Source organism: Homo sapiens, chromosome 2, assembly GCF_000001405.40.
Source record: "Homo sapiens chromosome 2, GRCh38.p14 Primary Assembly".
In the NCBI taxonomy this organism is placed as follows: domain Eukaryota; kingdom Metazoa; phylum Chordata; class Mammalia; order Primates; family Hominidae; genus Homo; species Homo sapiens.
In genome coordinates, this window is record NC_000002.12 from 98,515,687 (window position 1) to 98,531,765 (window position 16,079).

Sequence of the window (16,079 nt, forward strand, 5' to 3'; positions counted from 1 at the left end):
CGGGGAGCCTGAGAGGTTCCTGAGGTGGAGGGACCTGCAGTACTCCCGCTAGGCCTCTGGCAAACGTTTCCCAGGACTGCTGCTGAAGGCCTTGCCACCTCACTAGTCCTGTGTGAATCCTAACACCCCTCCCGTCCTGCCAGTGCCCTCTCCACCACCCCTTTCCCTGCCCCCCATGGCTGGAAGGGACATCATGGGAAGTGGGATAGAACCTCAGGGTTTACTGTCCACTTGATGGCCTGCCGCCTCTTGTCGGAGGGGTCACATGAGTGCGCAGAGTGAGGAATGGGAGCTGCTCACTTCATGGGTTATTGCTTCTTTTTTCTTGACCCCAAGAAAAAATTCCAGCCCCCTAGACAGCTCCCACACATTCTGTCTCCTCTTCTGCTTAAGTGCAGTTTTTCCTCCTAATGAACTCTGGTCTTCAAATGGAGCTGGGAGGAAAAACAAGGACCTTGGGAATATACGAATCCTTGGTGAATTACCTTATATTAATGAGACCAAGAAGAGAAATCGAGTTCAGCTGTGCAAATTAGCTTTGCGTTCTGGGCCTTGATGACTTAAATTGCAGATTCTAATTAAATGTCCCCAAATAACTATGAAGTGCTTCTAAGGTCTTTTTGACCTAAAAGTTTCCGTGACCTGTGAACTCTCTCAAGTGTAAAATTAGTCTGTAGATGTACCCCTTTAAGCATTTCTATCTCCAGAAACCTCATGATGCCTAGGATATAAACCACCCTCCTAAGGGCAGAGCAGGCTGGTGGAGTGGGCAGGGACCCTGCAGGGAGAGGTGGAAAGGGGTAGGCATGGGTGAGTTTCGGAGCTTCCCCAGGGCTGGCAGGATGTTGGGGTACAGATGTGTCCCTCTGTTAGGTGGCCTGTCTCCACTGTCATAAGTGAAGGGGGTGACCGACACCTTCACTAACAGGCTGAGCAGGGCAGCAAGGCAGGCAATGGAATGCTTTAGACACACTGGGAAAAGGTTCAAAAGGGAAGAGCCTCTTCTTCAAGCTGAAGTCATGCCTGGGGTGCTGCCCTGCCTCTGGCCAGCATGGGGTGCAAATCTTCAGTGACACAAGAGTATGGCTGTTAGAGAAGGAGGAAGACAGTTCCCCATGATCACACCCCCAGCATGGCTGTCATCTTGATGCAGCCGCCTGCTGGCTGTCCCCTCTGTACAGTACCTCTTTAAATGGCTGCAAACAGAGCAAAGGTGGGCTATTTCTTTAAAAACACATGATGCAGAACTCACGTAAGTTTTTTTTTTAATGCTATGTTGTCTTGTATACACTTTGTATTGGGGTATAAAAATCACCTGTGTACAGCTCAGTGAATTTCACACAGTAAAGTCTGTGTGTAACCCGCACCCAGATCATTTCCAGAGCCCCGGAAGCCCTCTCACCCTCCCCAGTCAGTACCCACCCCTTCAGGATACCACTCTCCATACTCTGGATGCCACAGATTCGTTTGGCCTGTGCTTGAACTTCGTATGAATGGATTTGCCTAGAATGGTCTTAACTTTTCCCCTTGACGTTGTTTCTGAGACTCATCCCATTGTTTCATCTGTTCTACTGTTGACGAACATTTAGGTTGTCTCAGGTATCTTGCTACTGTGAATGTTGCTGTTCTAAACCTTCTCTACAGGCTTTTGGTGAGCATAAGTGTGCGTTTCTGTTAGCAGCTCCCCCTCTGAGTTGTATGCCAGGTCACAGGGTAGGTGCATGTTCAACTTAAGTAGAGACGGCCAGTTTTCCAGCGCGGGTGACTATTTACGCTCTACCAGTAGTATCACTTCCAGTTACTCCACGTCCTCATCAACACTTGGTACTGTTGGTCTTTTGTCATTTTTGCTATTCCAGTGCTTGTGCAGAGGTATCTCATGGGTTCAGTTTGCATTTCCCTGATGACTAATGGGGTTGAAGAACTTCTCCTGTGTCTGTTGGCTTTATTATGATCATTTTGATAGCCAGATAATAGTGTGTCTTATGGATGTTCCAGAACATTCTTTTCTTACCTATAGCTGGGCATTTGGATTGCTTTATTATTATAAGTAATGCTGCAATAAGCATTTTTACCCAGTAGTCTTTTCCATGTTCTATACTATTGGCAAGAGTTTTGTTATCATTTACAAATTTTGATAATTAATGCCAGATGGCTTTCTGAATGTTTGAACTACTCTAAGATGGAGTAACAATATAGGAGAGTCCTAGACAGCTTCCCCCAGGTCCTCCAGCAATGTGTATTCTCATTGAAGAACAAACAAAACTCTTTTGGAGGACGAATTTAGGTGAAGGAAAGCATATTTAGCATTGCGTTACTTAATGAGTTTGGTCACTTTTTCAAAATGTTTACCATGTGTGTTCCTCATTTATAAATTCCTACCTTTTGCCACTTGCATTTTGGTGAGTTTTTTGTTAATGTGTACAACCATTACTGTAAAAAGCAGATATTAGTACTGTAAGCACTTTCCTGTTTTACCAGTCACATTGCACATTGCTTCACTTGTGTGCCTTTTGACGTTAACCAGCAAATCTTCCCCTTGGTGATTTTTATTGTGGCTCCCCCACCAGGCCACTGCCGTGTCTGCAGAGATGCCCAGACTGAAGGTCCCTGGGCACCCCTAGTGGGAGGGATAGGAGCATAGCCTGTGAGAGAAACTGAGTCAGCCCTGGGCTAAGCACTCTGCTCTTGCGGTCATCTGATTCCCCGACCCTGGTGCTTTGAGAGGGATGGCTCATGAGCTGAGCCCTGCCCTGTGGCCTGCCAAACAGCCCCTGTGGTGCTGGGACTGAGTGGGGCCTGGGGGCCCAGCAGCAGCAGCATTGTGGGAACTCAGTGGAGTTTGCAGAGCCCTCTCCTGTTCACGCACATTTGGTTTTCATTGCAGCCCCATGAGATGGGTGCAGCCCATCCATCCTGAAGGGCAGGGCCTTAAGAGGGCCCTGCAGCTTCTCCCAGGGCCTACAGTTTGTGAGTGGGGAAACTGGTCTCACATTCTCATCCCCCTAAACCACACCCAGCTGCTCACCTGGCTCTTTAGGACAGGCCCAGACTCCCCCAGCAGATCAGCCCTGCAGGGGAGAGGAATATGTGCTTTCTCTTTCTCATTTATTTTGGGTTTGAGCAAAACTTGTATTTTTGAGCCAGAAGGTTGGATTGGGGTGTGGAGCTCAAACAAACATGGAGTAGCTCTTGGCCTCCACGTTTCTAGGCATTGCAGTCTCTCAGAAACTTCATGTTTGACCAGCTTGTTAAGTTTTCGCTTTCTTATTTTTAGATGATGGATTTGGACATGCTTCTATGAAGAAATGCCACATGGTCCGAGAGCAAACATGTCCAGTAAGTTGTTTGGTGAATTAACCCAAGGACAGGAGCCCAGGTCCTTCAGGCACAGGGTGTGGACACCCTTTGAGAAGATCAGGGCTGTCTCTGGAAATATGAAGACCTCTGAGAGAGTGTTTTAAACTAGGCTTATTGCTCAGTCTAATTATCTTAACTTGTAAAGGTTGGTTCTTTCTAGAGACAGCAGGAGTTGTAGCATATAGGGTTGGAAAAACCTGAAACACCTTCTCGCTGCTTAATCTAGTTCTGAGAGCAGAGTGTGAGCTCTGGAGCTCTGAGCCATGTGAAGCGTGTGACTCAGCCTGTGGCAGTGTTTTACCCAGAGCCCTCCCTTTCCATAGCACAGCACCCTCCACTTCGCTTAGGCCCAGATTACATGCTTTGCGGGAAGGAAAGCCTGAGACCCAGACACACGTGAAGTTTATGCAGCTCTGGGAAGAAAGCCAGCAGGTTAGAGTTGTGAGCTTTGTCTCACTAGTGTTTTGCCACCTGTATGTAGCCCGTGGACAGCAGACTCTTCTGCAGCTCTTACCCTTCTCACAGAGGTTGTGGTGAATTGATTTAAATATTTAAAGGTTCTAAGAGACTTGCCAACAGAAGAGCATAATAAAGAGAACAAGAAAATCTCGAAAGCCATATTTTATAATTATATGAAAACCATCATTCACTGTGGCATATCTCTGCTGAAGAGGACAGGACATCCTCAAGGGATCCCATGGACACCCTGTGTTGGGGAGTGGGGAGGAAGAAGTGACCAGAAGGGGCAGGGAGCAGTGGACAGTCCACCCCGGTTCCTCACATGCTGGGGAACCCTGTCACTGTACCTCGCCCCCGGTAGGTCACGTTCTTTCTAAATGAGAGCATGATTTCTCTCCATCACCGTCCCCATGGTTTCTTACAAGTGCTCCTTTTCTCAGGGCTACTGCCACTTTAGTGGACTAGGGCTCGGTGCCAGCACTTCCCGGGTAATCAGGCGTGGTCTGACCGAGGATCAAGAAGCACATCATCACCAATGACATCATGACAGCAAGAGAGCACAGCCCTCGCCATGGTGCCAGGGCCCGTGCAATGCAGCGGGCTTCCACCATCGACGTGGCGGCCGACATGCTGGGCCTCTCTCTGGCAGGTGAGCCTCACAGGGCCTGCACCGGGCTCCAGGTATGAGCTCACAGCACCTGGGCTCCACACTGCAGCAGTGCTGGCAGGTACCCAATGATTCCCCATGACTACCCTAGACTACAGGGTACCCTGGTTTGGCATCCTTCTGGTTGAACCAGGAAATAGGGAAGGGGGATGTCAGCCCTCTTCCTGTGAACCGCTTCTGCTGGAGCCTGACTACATTAGTTTTCCAGTTTGGTGGCAGGGGCACCACCAGGGTAGTGTGGGAATGTCCAAGTGTTTTGCTGGCCCATGCCCAGGCCATGGTAAAAGCCCTCCCTGTTGTGGATGTGTAGATCTGAGGAGGAGCAGGGGTTTGGTTGTGGGGTCAGGGACTTCTTAGCAATCTCAAAAACAAAATATTTTTAAAATAAAGAAATTGTCTTGCATGGCAGTTTTTGTTGTTGTTGGGGGGAAGTAGAGGGTCATTTGTGCATTTAATCTGAAAACAGAGAAAAGTTTATTAAGGATGATTTTTCTGTCATTTCTTTTCTATTCAGGAAATATACAAGACCCAGATGAGCCCATTTTAGAATTTAGCTTAGGTAGGTATCTTTCATTATTTTTTTGTTTTAAAAAATATTTTACTTAAAAATGAAAACAAAAACACTACCACCAGTGCATGGGCTTGTCTCAGAGAGCTTGCTGCTGCTGCCACCACTGCTGCAGCGTTTCTGAGAAGACGGAGCCCTCACAGTTGTGAACTTCTGTGGATGGGAAGGCACCTTGGAGCCTCCGTGCCCACAGGCTCCTGTCTCCTCAGCATGGGGCCCGCCCCCTTGGGGGTATGCTCTCCACAGGTGGCTGGGGACAGGGAGGTGAGCCCACCTAGAGCTGCCAACAGAGACCCTCCCCACCCCCACCCCAATGGGGGAAAGGGAAGGAGGGGTTGGGGAAACCGGGCATAGAGTTCAGCTTTGTTGCCCCTGGCTGCAAGGCCTTGTGTTGGCTGAGTTTCGCTCTCTAGCCCTCAGTTCCCTATTGTATAAAAGGCAACATTGGCACCTGCATGCTCTCTTTCTCAGGATCAGATAAGAATATACTAAAAAGTGGATCAGAATGTGCTGAGTCTGGGGTCAGCGATACGTGGCATCACTGTGCTTACCCAGGAGGCCTGAGACGCCTCTCCATCAGAGCCCAATGCTACCCAGCGCTCCTCTCCCCTTTTCCCATTCCTTGGTCAACATTAGTTGGTGGCCTGGCACCAATGTCCAAGAGGTGGTGTGACATAAAAGAGGCACCTCCTGGGGAGTCAGATGACCTGGATTCCAGCCCTGACCATGCCAGGCTAACCACATGGCCTTGAGCCTGCCACTCGACCTTGCTGGAACAGTTTCCTCCTGTGCTACGTGAGGATGCTACTGCTTGTTTGAGAGACAAAGAAGATCAAGGTGGTTAAGCACCCCCCAGCCCCAAAAGACTTGGACAAATTGCAAAACCCATAAAAGTGTAAGTACACTACTGGCCGGGTACAGTAGCTCACACCTGTAATCCTAGCACTTTGAGAGGCTAAGCCAGGAGGATTGCTTGAGGCCAGGAGTTTGAGATCAGCCTGGGCAACATAGCAAGACCCTGTTTCTAAAAAAGAAAAAAAAAAAACTTACCTGGCTGTAGTGGCACACGCATGTATTGCCAGCTACTAAGGAGGCTGAGGTGGAAGGAGCCCTTGAGCCTAGGAGTTTGAGACTGCAGTGAGTTATGATTGGGCCACAGAGGGATACCCTGTCTCTAAAAAATAATAATAAAAAAGAAACAAAAAATAGAATTTGGAAGAAACAGAGACATTGCAGAAAGTTTTAAAGAAATAATAATTTATATTGGCCAGGCATGGTGGCTCAATCCTGTAATCCCAGCAGTTTGGGAGGCCAAGGTGGGCGGATCACATGAGGTCAGGAGTTCAAGACCAGCCTGGCCAACATGGTGAAACCCTGTGTCTACAAAAATACAAAAATTAGCCAGGCATGATGGTGCGTGCCTGTAATCCCAGCTACTCGGGAGGCTGAAGCAGGGGAATCGCTTGAAGCCAGGAGGCGGAGGTTGCAGTGAGCCGAGATTGCACCATTACACTCTAGCCTGGGCAACAGAGCGAGACTCTGTCTCAAAAAAAAAAAAAAAAAGAAAGAAAGAAATTATAATTTGTATACTCAAGAAAAGATAGTATATCTATAAAACAAAACCAGGACACTATAAAGATAAAAAGAACAATTGAAGAACAAGAACAATCTTAGAAGTTTAAAATATGATAGACAAAATTTAAAAAATTCTATGAAGTTTGGAAGTTAGTCAAGGAATTCTTCCAGAAAGTAAGATTTTAAAAACAAAGTAGAAAGTGGGTAAGAAATAGAAATGGAAATTTTGAGAGTAAATCCAGAAGGTCCGATATTTAGAAGAAAAAACAGAAGAGAATGTTAAGGGAGGAAATGCAAAGAAAGAGGAAATCTCCGAGAACTGAAGAATGTGTCTGTAGGTTAAAAATGTCTACCAAGGCCCAGCACAATGCTGAAAGAGACCCATAACAAGGTGTATTGTGGTGAAATTTCGGATCACAGGGAATAAAATGAAGATCCTGAAAACTTCCAGAAAGAAAAAAAAAAACAGGTCATACCCAAGGATCAGGAATAAAACTGGCATGGAATGTCTCAGTGACATTGGAAACTTGAAGACAGTGAGACAACACCTTTAATTATATTTTCAACCCAGAATTCTCTGCCCAACCAGACTATCAGTCAAATGTGAGTGTAGGAAGAAACTTGTTTCAGCTGCACAGAGTTGTACAGCAAAAATTTACTTCCCCTGCATTCTTTCTCCGGAAGCTAGTGGAGGATGTGTTCTCATCCTAAAGAGGGACCACACTGAGCAGAGAAGTCATGGGATCCAGGAAACAGGGTCATCACAAGAGAGAAGTGGAAGGAATCCCACATGGTTCTTAATGAGTAATATGTGCTTAACTTTCATCATGACAATGTGGATTTAACACAAATTGAGCTAAAATGATTGCATATGGAGAGAGAATGACAGTTGGTATAATTGAGTTAAAAATCCTCATCCGCCTATAAATCAGGACATTTCTGAATCTGGTGAACGAAAAACAGTAATATAGTCATGTTAATTGGGCACATGGAGGAAGAAACTGCTTTAAAAAGTAAGGATTAATTTTATATAAAGTGAATTTTACCCCAGTTTTTTTTGTTTTGTTTTTGTTTTTGTTTTTTTGTTTTTTTTTTTTGAGACGGAGTCTCTCTCTGTCTCCCGGGGTGGAGTGCAGTGGCACAATCTCGGCTCACTGCAAGCTCCGCCTCCTGGGTTCATGTCATTCTCCTGCCTCAGCCTCCCGAGTAGTTGGGACTACAGGCACCCACCACCACACCCAGCTAATTTTTTGTATTTTTAGTAGAGACGGGGTTTCACTGTGTTAGCCAGGATGGTCTCGATCTCCTGACCTCGTGATCTGCCCGCCTCGGCCTCCCAAAGTGCTGGGATTACAGGCGTGAGCCACCGCGCCTGGCCACCCCAGTTTTTTAAAAAGCGAGGAGTGGGAGCTGGATTATTGAATGGACAAATGTGTTGACTTTTAAAATAAAACTTTAAATTTTTAAAAAAGTATGTTCATTGTAAAACCTTCAATACAGAAAATGTTGCAGAGAGGTAGTCAGTTATCACTTTGGTATATATCCTTCCAAATATATATGTTTGACCCTCACAGAGTACTATATGGAGATTTTGAATGATTTTTGGTTGTGGAAGTATGGAATTATTTCCAAACATGTCATCCTAGTGCTCTTGACATTCTTTTTTCATGTGGCAAAATACCTTTTTTAATATATATGGGATCTGCTTGATCATTTTAAATGCCTTCATAGAGTCTCTAATAGAGCTGTGCCATACTTATTTTAGCCAGCCTCCTACTGCTGGACATTCAGGTTCTTCCCAATCTGCCATTATAAACACTATCACAGTGAACGTATTCATACATAGATCTTTCATACATGTTGCTGATTATTTCCTTAGGATACACTCTTGAATATAGCATTGTTGAATCAAATATATGCAGTTTACCTCAACAGCATTTATTTAGTGTTTATTCAGCTGGGATTACAGACGATCAGGTTGGAGAGACAAGGCTTATATATCAGAGGTGTGTGGTTTCTATGGAAATATGCCAAATGAATGACGTAAGTGAGCCTGCAGGCTGCTCAGAGAAAACTTAATGGAAGCTATGGAACTTGAGCCAGGAATCAAACCCTGGTTGAAATTTAGATAGGCTGGGTTGGGGGAGGAGGCCAGGAGAGATTGTCCCTTGTACGAAGGCATGTTCTGAAGGTGGCCATGGGACCATCAACCCTTAAAGTAATCTCAGTCTTCCCAGCCTTTGGCCACCTGCTGTACCTTACGTCTGTCTGCCATCATTACTGCCTGAAAGACCTGAATATTCCTACCTTGCATAGGTGTCAAGAAAACTCACACCTGATAAAAGGGCAGGTAGAGAGAGGCCACAGGTCATTTTAGGGTACTTTGTAACTTAAAGAAGAGACAAGTAGATCAATCAAATTAGGGAATTCCTGTCCAGGCAGACATAATAGAAGAAACAAAAGAGAACTTAAAATAGTAATAAAACCTTGAAGCCTCTAGAAGAAAAATAGGAGAACTTTCAAACTCAGGGTAGGCAAAGATTTGGACAGAGCACAAAAAGCACTGTTTGTTTTAGTTTGCTACTGCTGCCATAACAAATTACCAGAAATTTAGCATGTTAAAGCAATATAAATGTATTATCTTACAGTTCCCTTAGATTAGAAATCCAGTGTGCTCACTGGGTCTTTGCTTAGAGTCTCACAACACCAAAATCAGTGTTAGCAGGGCTGGATTTATTTAGAAGGCCTCTGGGGCCTATTTCCTATCTATTTCCTTGCTCATTCGCGTTGTTGGCAGAATTCAGTTGCTAGTGGTTTTAAATTTTAGGACTCCATTTTTTTGCTAGCTATCAGTTAAGGCCTGTTCCCAGCTCATAGAGGCCACTCACATTCCTCTTGTGGACTTACAGTCCTCTTCCTCCATCTTCAAAGCTGGCAGTGGCAGGTCTAGTGCCTTCCATGCTTGGAATCTCTCCTGCCTCTTCTTCCATTGTTATATCTTTATGATTCACCCTAAGGCCTTCCTCTTCTATTTTTAAGGGCTCCTGTGATAGATTGAGCCCATCTGCATAATCCATCTGAAGATCACTTAATCACATCTGTAAAGTCCCTTTTGCCATGTAATGTAATCTATTCATAGTTTCTGAGGATTAGGACATAGGTACTTTTTGTCAGAGAGGGGCTTCTCTGCCTACCACTTCCTAAAATTTAAAAAAGATACATTGAATTTCATCAAAATAAGAAATTGCTGTCCATAAGAGACATCACTGAGAAAATGAATAGATGAACCACAAACTGGAAAAAAATATTCACAACACGTATACTTCACAAAGGACAAATAAATAGTAAACAACCAAATTTTTAAAATGAGCAAAAGACTTGAGCAGACACTAGACAAAATAAGTTATACAAATGAACAATAAGCACATGTTAAAATGATGCTTAACAGCATAAGTCATCATGTAACCGCAAATTAAAACACATCTATTAGAATGGGTAAAATTAACAACAACAACAACAACAAAACAAAACACTCTACCCAACTGGAACTTTTGTATATTGCTGGTGGGAGTGGAAAATGATACAAACACATTGGAAAACTGTTGGCTTCTCATAAAGTTAAATATATTTTAGTTGTATGTAATTATGCAGAAGAAATGAAAAAGTGTTCACAAAAAGACATGAACAACAACATTTATGTCACCTTTATTTAATAGTTCAAAACGGAAAACAACCCAAATGTCTATTAACAGTAGAATAAATAAATTGTACAATGGAATATGACTCATTTTTTAAAAAAGAATGAATTATCAATACATGTAACAACACAGATGAGTCTCGAAAACATTCCATTTGTATGAAATTCAAGAACAGACAAAAGAATAGTGATGGAAATCAGAAAATGCTTGCAAAACTAGGAGATTTGTACAAGAGGGAACTTTCTAGTCTGATGAAAAAGTTGTGCTATCTTGTTTTGATGGTGCTTACATGGGTGTTTATGATTGTTAAAGCTCATTGAACAGAAAAACCTAAGCTTTTTGTATTTTATTGTATCCAATAAATAATGAAGGTTCATGAAGATACATGAGAAGATATTACAGAGAACCAAAATTAATTTTTGGAAATAAAAATCAGTTTATTAATTTTAAACCACTAGTTGTCATTTAAAAATAAGAATGATGAGGGCATATATGGCAGAGTGAAGACTTCCAAAAATCTTCTTTTCTATAAAGGCAATGAGTATACTGGCAAAAATGGTCAAAATCAATTGGTTCAGAACTCTGAAAATTAACAGAGGCTTACAGCACTCTGGGTAGCATTTATTTAAGAAAAATGGTGTATTAGTCTGTTCTTGCAGTTCTATAAAGAAATACCTGAGGCTGAGTAATTTATAAAGAAAAGAAGTTTAATTGGCTCATGGTTCTGCAGGCTATACAAGCATGGCACCAGCATCTTCTCAGCTTCTGGTGAGCCCTCAGGGAGGTTTTATTTATGGCAGAAGGAAAAGCGGGAGCGAGCATCTTACATGATGAGAGAAGGATTAAACGAGAGAGGGAGGAGGTGCCACACACTTAAACAAACAGGTCTTGCGTAAACTCAGAGCTAGAACTCACTCATCACCAAGGGGATGGCACTAAGTCATTCATGAGGGATTTGTCCCCCATTATCCAAATACCTTCCACCAGGCCCTACCTCCAATACTGGGGATTACCTTTCAGCATGAGATTTGGAGGGGACAAAACATCCAAATCATATCAAATGGGTTCTTAGAGAGCTTTATGATGTTTTAACTTGCCCTGTTGCTATCGTCCTCTCTCTAGCTCCAAGTAGACTTTAAAGGCAACATCTTTGATGTTATAGTGAAAATCAATAGCCTAAAAGTCCCTGAAGGGGACAGAATGGGGTTGGAGATCCTACAAAAAAGCCCCTTTCTTAGAGAGTTATCATTATTTGGCCTGTCTGGCAGTTCCCTGGAAAACCCTACATCCTGTACCTGCCTTTATTTGGCTTAACTCAGAATCAGTGACAACAGCTTTTTCCCTGAGAATGTTTGTCAAAAACAATCACTGTCCATTTTTTAACATTGCAGCTGCCAGAGGTAGTAGTAACAGTTGGAGCAAACAAAAAGCTAACCAAAAAAACCTTAAAAGGGAAAGCTGGGGAATGAGATATTCACAGGGAGATTTGAAAAGCTCTTTCATATTCCTGGGAACTTCAAAGGCCAGTGAAGGGCTGTGCACATGTCCAGAGCTGTGTGCATACTCAGGAGACGTGAAAAGGCCCTAAACAATTACCTGAGATTGACCCTGAGGTTCTATGCAAGTGGCAAATGAAGGCTAAGACAGAGTTATAAACTGCCTTCCTGAACATTGAAAATGCACCCCAGTATACACACAGGGACTCTTAGCTACAGCAAAGGTCTGTGATTCTGGTATTTAAGGAAATATCTGTCCAACCATTATCTGACTACTAACCTAATGAAGCAGTCACTTCAGTGGCCACACATGACAAAGAGTATTACTTTACAGAATTAGATCAGAAAAGGCACTGAAGAAACAGCCACACAAAAGAGCAGCAACAACAAAGCTTGGGGAAGGGAGAGAATCTAATTCCAGAGATCTCACATTATATTATTTAAAATGTGTAGTTTTCAACAAGAAGTTATGAGATGTTGCAAAAAAGAAAGTATGGCTCATACACAGATGGAAAAAACCCATACAGTCAGTAGAAACCATCCCTAGGAGGCACAAATGTTTAACTTAGTAGACAAAGATTTTTAAATCAGCTATTTTAAGTATGTTCAAATAACTGAAGGAGAGTATGTCTAAAGAACTGAGGAAAGTATGAGAACAGTGTCTCACCAAATAGAGACTTGAAGAGATAGAAACTATAAAGATATCTAAATACAAATTCTGGAGTTCAAAATTATAATAACTGAAATGAAAAATTCATTAAGAGAGGCTCAACTGTAGGTTTGAGAAGGCAGAAGAAAGAATCAGCAAACTTGAAGACAGGTCAATTGAGATTATCCAGTCTGAGGAACAGAAAGGAAAAAAGAATGAAGAAAAATGAACAGAGCCTCAGAGACCTGTGGGACACAATCAAGTGCACCAATATACATATAATAGGAGTTCCAGAAGAAGAGTAAATTGAGAAGGGGGGAGATAAAAATGTTTGAATAAATCATGACCAAAAACATCCCATGTTTGATGGAAAACATGAATCTACATATCCAGGAAGCCCAATGAACTCCACATAGGATAAACTCAAAGAGATCCACACTTGATACATCATACTCAAATCATTGAAAGCCAAAGACAGAATCTTTAAAATAGCAAGAAAGGAGTGACTTATCATGTATAAGGGATCATCAATAAGAGTAACAGCTAATTTCTCATCAGAAACCATGGAGGTCAGGAAGGTGGTAGGGTGATGTATTCAAACTGCTGAAAGAAAAAGACAACCAAGAATTTTCTATTCGGCCAGGCGCAGTGGCTCACGCTTGTAATCCCAGCACTTTGGGAGGCCGAGGCAGGCAGATCACAAGGTCAGGAGATCGAGACCATCCTGGCTAACACAGTGAAACCCATCTCTACTAAAAATACAAAAAAAATTAGCTGGGCGTGGTGGCAGGCGCCTGTAGTCCCAGCTACTCGGGAGGCTGAGGCAGGAGAATTGGCGTGAACCCGGGAGGCGGAGCTTGCTGTGAGCCGAGATCGCACCACTGCACTCCAGCCTGGGCAACAGAGCGAGACTGTCTCAAAAAAAAAAAAAAAAAAATTTCTATTCATCAAAAATATCTTTCAAAAATGAATAAGCAGTATGTGGTGTGTTTATACAATTGAATGTTATCAATAAAAAGGAACGAAGTACAGATATTTGCTAGAGTATGGATAAACCTTTATAATGTGCTAATTGAAGAAGCCAGATACAAAAAGCCACCTATTGTATGATTCCACTTATATGAAATATATGGACTAGACAAATCTATATAGATAGAAAGTAGATCAGTGGTTTCTTGGGGGACCAGTGAATGGGGGTAATGGGTTTGGTTTGTTGTTTTTGGATTGATGAGAATGTTCAGGAATTTGTGGTGATGGTTGCACAACTCTGAATGTCTTTAAAAAACCACAGAATTGGGCTGGGCGCAATAGCTCATGCCTGTAATCCCAGCACTTTGGAGGCCGAGGCAGGTGGATCACGAGGTCAGGAGATCCAGACCATCCTGGCTAAACGGTGAAACCCCGTCTCTACTAAAAAAATACAAAAAATTAGCTGGGCGTGGTGGTGGGCGCCTGTAGTCCCAGCTACTCGGGAGGCTGAGGCAGGAGAATGGCGTGAACCCGGGAGGCAGAGCTTGCAGTGAGCTGAGATCGCGCCACTGCACTCCAGCCTGGGCAACAGAGTGAGACTCCATCTCAAAATAAAAAACAAAAAAAGACAAAAAATACAGAATTGTGTACTTTAAGAGGGTGAACTTTATGATATGTGAATCATATCTTAAAAGAAACGTAGTAAAAATTAAAGCAATGCTGCTGAAAACTCTTATTAAATCTGTGAAGGTAAATGAAGGAACCATCTCACAGTTCAAGTACAAAATAACAAGAAAGAGAGATTGTTAATGAAGAGATATGACAGATTTGGTAGTTCTAGTATTTGATTGATAGGAGACCTAGAAGCAGAGAGAGAGCTGGAAAGAGGAGTAGCAGCAAGCCAGAAGCAACAGAAGAATTCTTTCCAGAGGGAAGAATGGACTTAAGACTCAAGAATATTCCAGCTGCCAGGCATCTCCTTATGAGACTAACAAATTCTAAGGAGAAAGAAAATCTTTTTCTAGATAAATAACAAACATCAAATCTACCATAAGGACAACTAGAAAAAGTGAAAAAAAAAAAAAAATCTGAACTACCTGGTCCATGCTACCAGAGAACTGATAGGACAATAAAGAATCTGAGAGCAGAGGCTCACTTATTCCCTTGAGGGCTTACAGTGGTTCCCAAGAGAAAGGCCAAGAGAAAGGATTAGATGGATTAGACACTAAGTGTCTAAAGACACTTAGTGCTTTAGACAGTGTCTCAGTGAGAAGTGGCAGGGATTGCTTTCTAGGGTCCGTTAGGGGAAGGATACTTGTTGAAACCCCTCTCACTTTGATCTAGAATCCAAAAGGCTAAATCTAAACCTCTAGAGTAAAGGAACCAGAAGCAGGTGTTCATAGGGACTACAGGTTCATTAAGTTTCTGAAAGTAAATGAAAATATTTTAGAGTGCTAGTGCTCCTTGGAACCTTGCAGAAGTAGTTACAAATCTTGTCTGGAGAAAGCACCATCCTAGACCTCAAATAATTTCTACAAGCAATTCTTAAAATATAGTGTTCAGCATAAAATCATGAATTCTCAGAAACATGAGGAGATAAGAAATATGAACAGAAACAATAAACATAGAAATAGATCCAAAGGGGCTGTATATATTAGAGTTAAGAGACAGACACTAAAATAACTGTTATTGACTATATGTCTTAGTTAATAGGGGCTGCTATAGCAGAATATTGTAGACTGGGTGACTTAAAAAATAGAAATTTATTGCTCACAGTTCTGGAACCTGAGAAGTGCAAGATAAAGATGCTAGGATATCTGTTGTCTGATGGGGGCCAGCTTCCTGGTTTGCAGATGGACGTCGTCTTGTTGTGTTCTCACATGGCAGAGAGCAGAGCAGAGGAAGCAAGCTCTTGTGTCTCTTCTTTTAAAGGCACTAATCCCATTCATGAAGACTCTACCCTCATGACTTAATCACCTCTGAAAGGCCCCACCCCTAATACCATCACATTGGGATATAAGATTTCAACACATAAATTTTGGGGTTTGTGTCAGAGGACAGACCTACTTAAAGAAACTTTAGGGGGACACAAACATTCAGTCATAACACTAGGTAAAGAAGAATAAGGACATTATTGAACATTTTCAGAGAACTAGAAACCATGAAAAGAACCAAATAGATATTCTAGAATTAAAAGAAAAATTTCAAGAAGCAAATTTACAAAATGAAGCCAGAGCAATAAAAATAATGGAAAAAAAAATCAGAGGAGAGTAAAAACAGCATAGTGAGAGGTCTAATGTTACATTTATTTTGTATCTTTAAGAAGGAACACAGAAAAGGGTCAGAAGCAATATTTATAGTTGAGCATTTCTCCCAAAGTAATACAACAATTCGCAGAACAAATAAAAACAAATGTACCTAGGCACATCATAATAAAACTACTGAAAGCCATACTCAGTGGGAAAATTATAAAAGCTACCAGAAAACACAACACTTAAAGTAGCAACAACTAGACCGACCGCTGACTTCATAACAGAAAAAACAGAGGCCTAGGCACAATATATTTAAAGGGCTTAGAGAAAATGACTACTTAGAGAACATTTCCTTCAAGAAGTAAGGTGGAATAAAGACATTTTCA

At 42.4% G+C, this 16,079-nt stretch overlaps 1 protein-coding gene across 43 annotated transcripts in view, besides 2 other annotated features; it reads left to right on the forward strand.

The window, feature by feature from the left end:
* The window catches only part of INPP4A (inositol polyphosphate-4-phosphatase type I A), a 149,806-nt gene that overhangs the window by 71,100 nt on the left and 62,627 nt on the right, over positions 1–16,079 (forward strand). For 38 of the 43 annotated variants that reach the window (XR_922915.3, XR_007074203.1, XM_047444199.1 and 35 more), the window contains exons 2-4: positions 3,278–3,339; positions 4,260–4,468; positions 5,001–5,045. Coding sequence is in view for 40 of the 43 variants with exons in the window: in XM_047444199.1 (XP_047300155.1) it covers positions 4,363–4,468; positions 5,001–5,045 (151 nt within the window). In the remaining 3 variants the exon portion in view is untranslated. Of the gene's footprint in view, positions 1–3,277; positions 3,340–4,259; positions 4,469–5,000; positions 5,046–5,067; positions 5,950–16,079 lie in introns of those variants that run through there. The other 5 variants (XM_047444204.1, XM_047444203.1, XM_047444211.1 and 2 more) reach the window with 2 other exon arrangements.
* Positions 3,937–4,437: an enhancer, noted in NCBI's record as "H3K4me1 hESC enhancer chr2:99136086-99136586 (GRCh37/hg19 assembly coordinates)". NCBI's record gives its function as "activates a minimal SCP1, AML or CMV promoter by ChIP-STARR-seq in primed H9 embryonic stem cells {active_cell/tissue: H9 hESC(primed)}" and the evidence as "EXISTENCE:reporter gene assay evidence [ECO:0000049][PMID:30033119]".
* Positions 4,438–4,938: an enhancer, noted in NCBI's record as "H3K4me1 hESC enhancer chr2:99136587-99137087 (GRCh37/hg19 assembly coordinates)". NCBI's record gives its function as "activates a minimal SCP1, AML or CMV promoter by ChIP-STARR-seq in primed H9 embryonic stem cells {active_cell/tissue: H9 hESC(primed)}" and the evidence as "EXISTENCE:reporter gene assay evidence [ECO:0000049][PMID:30033119]".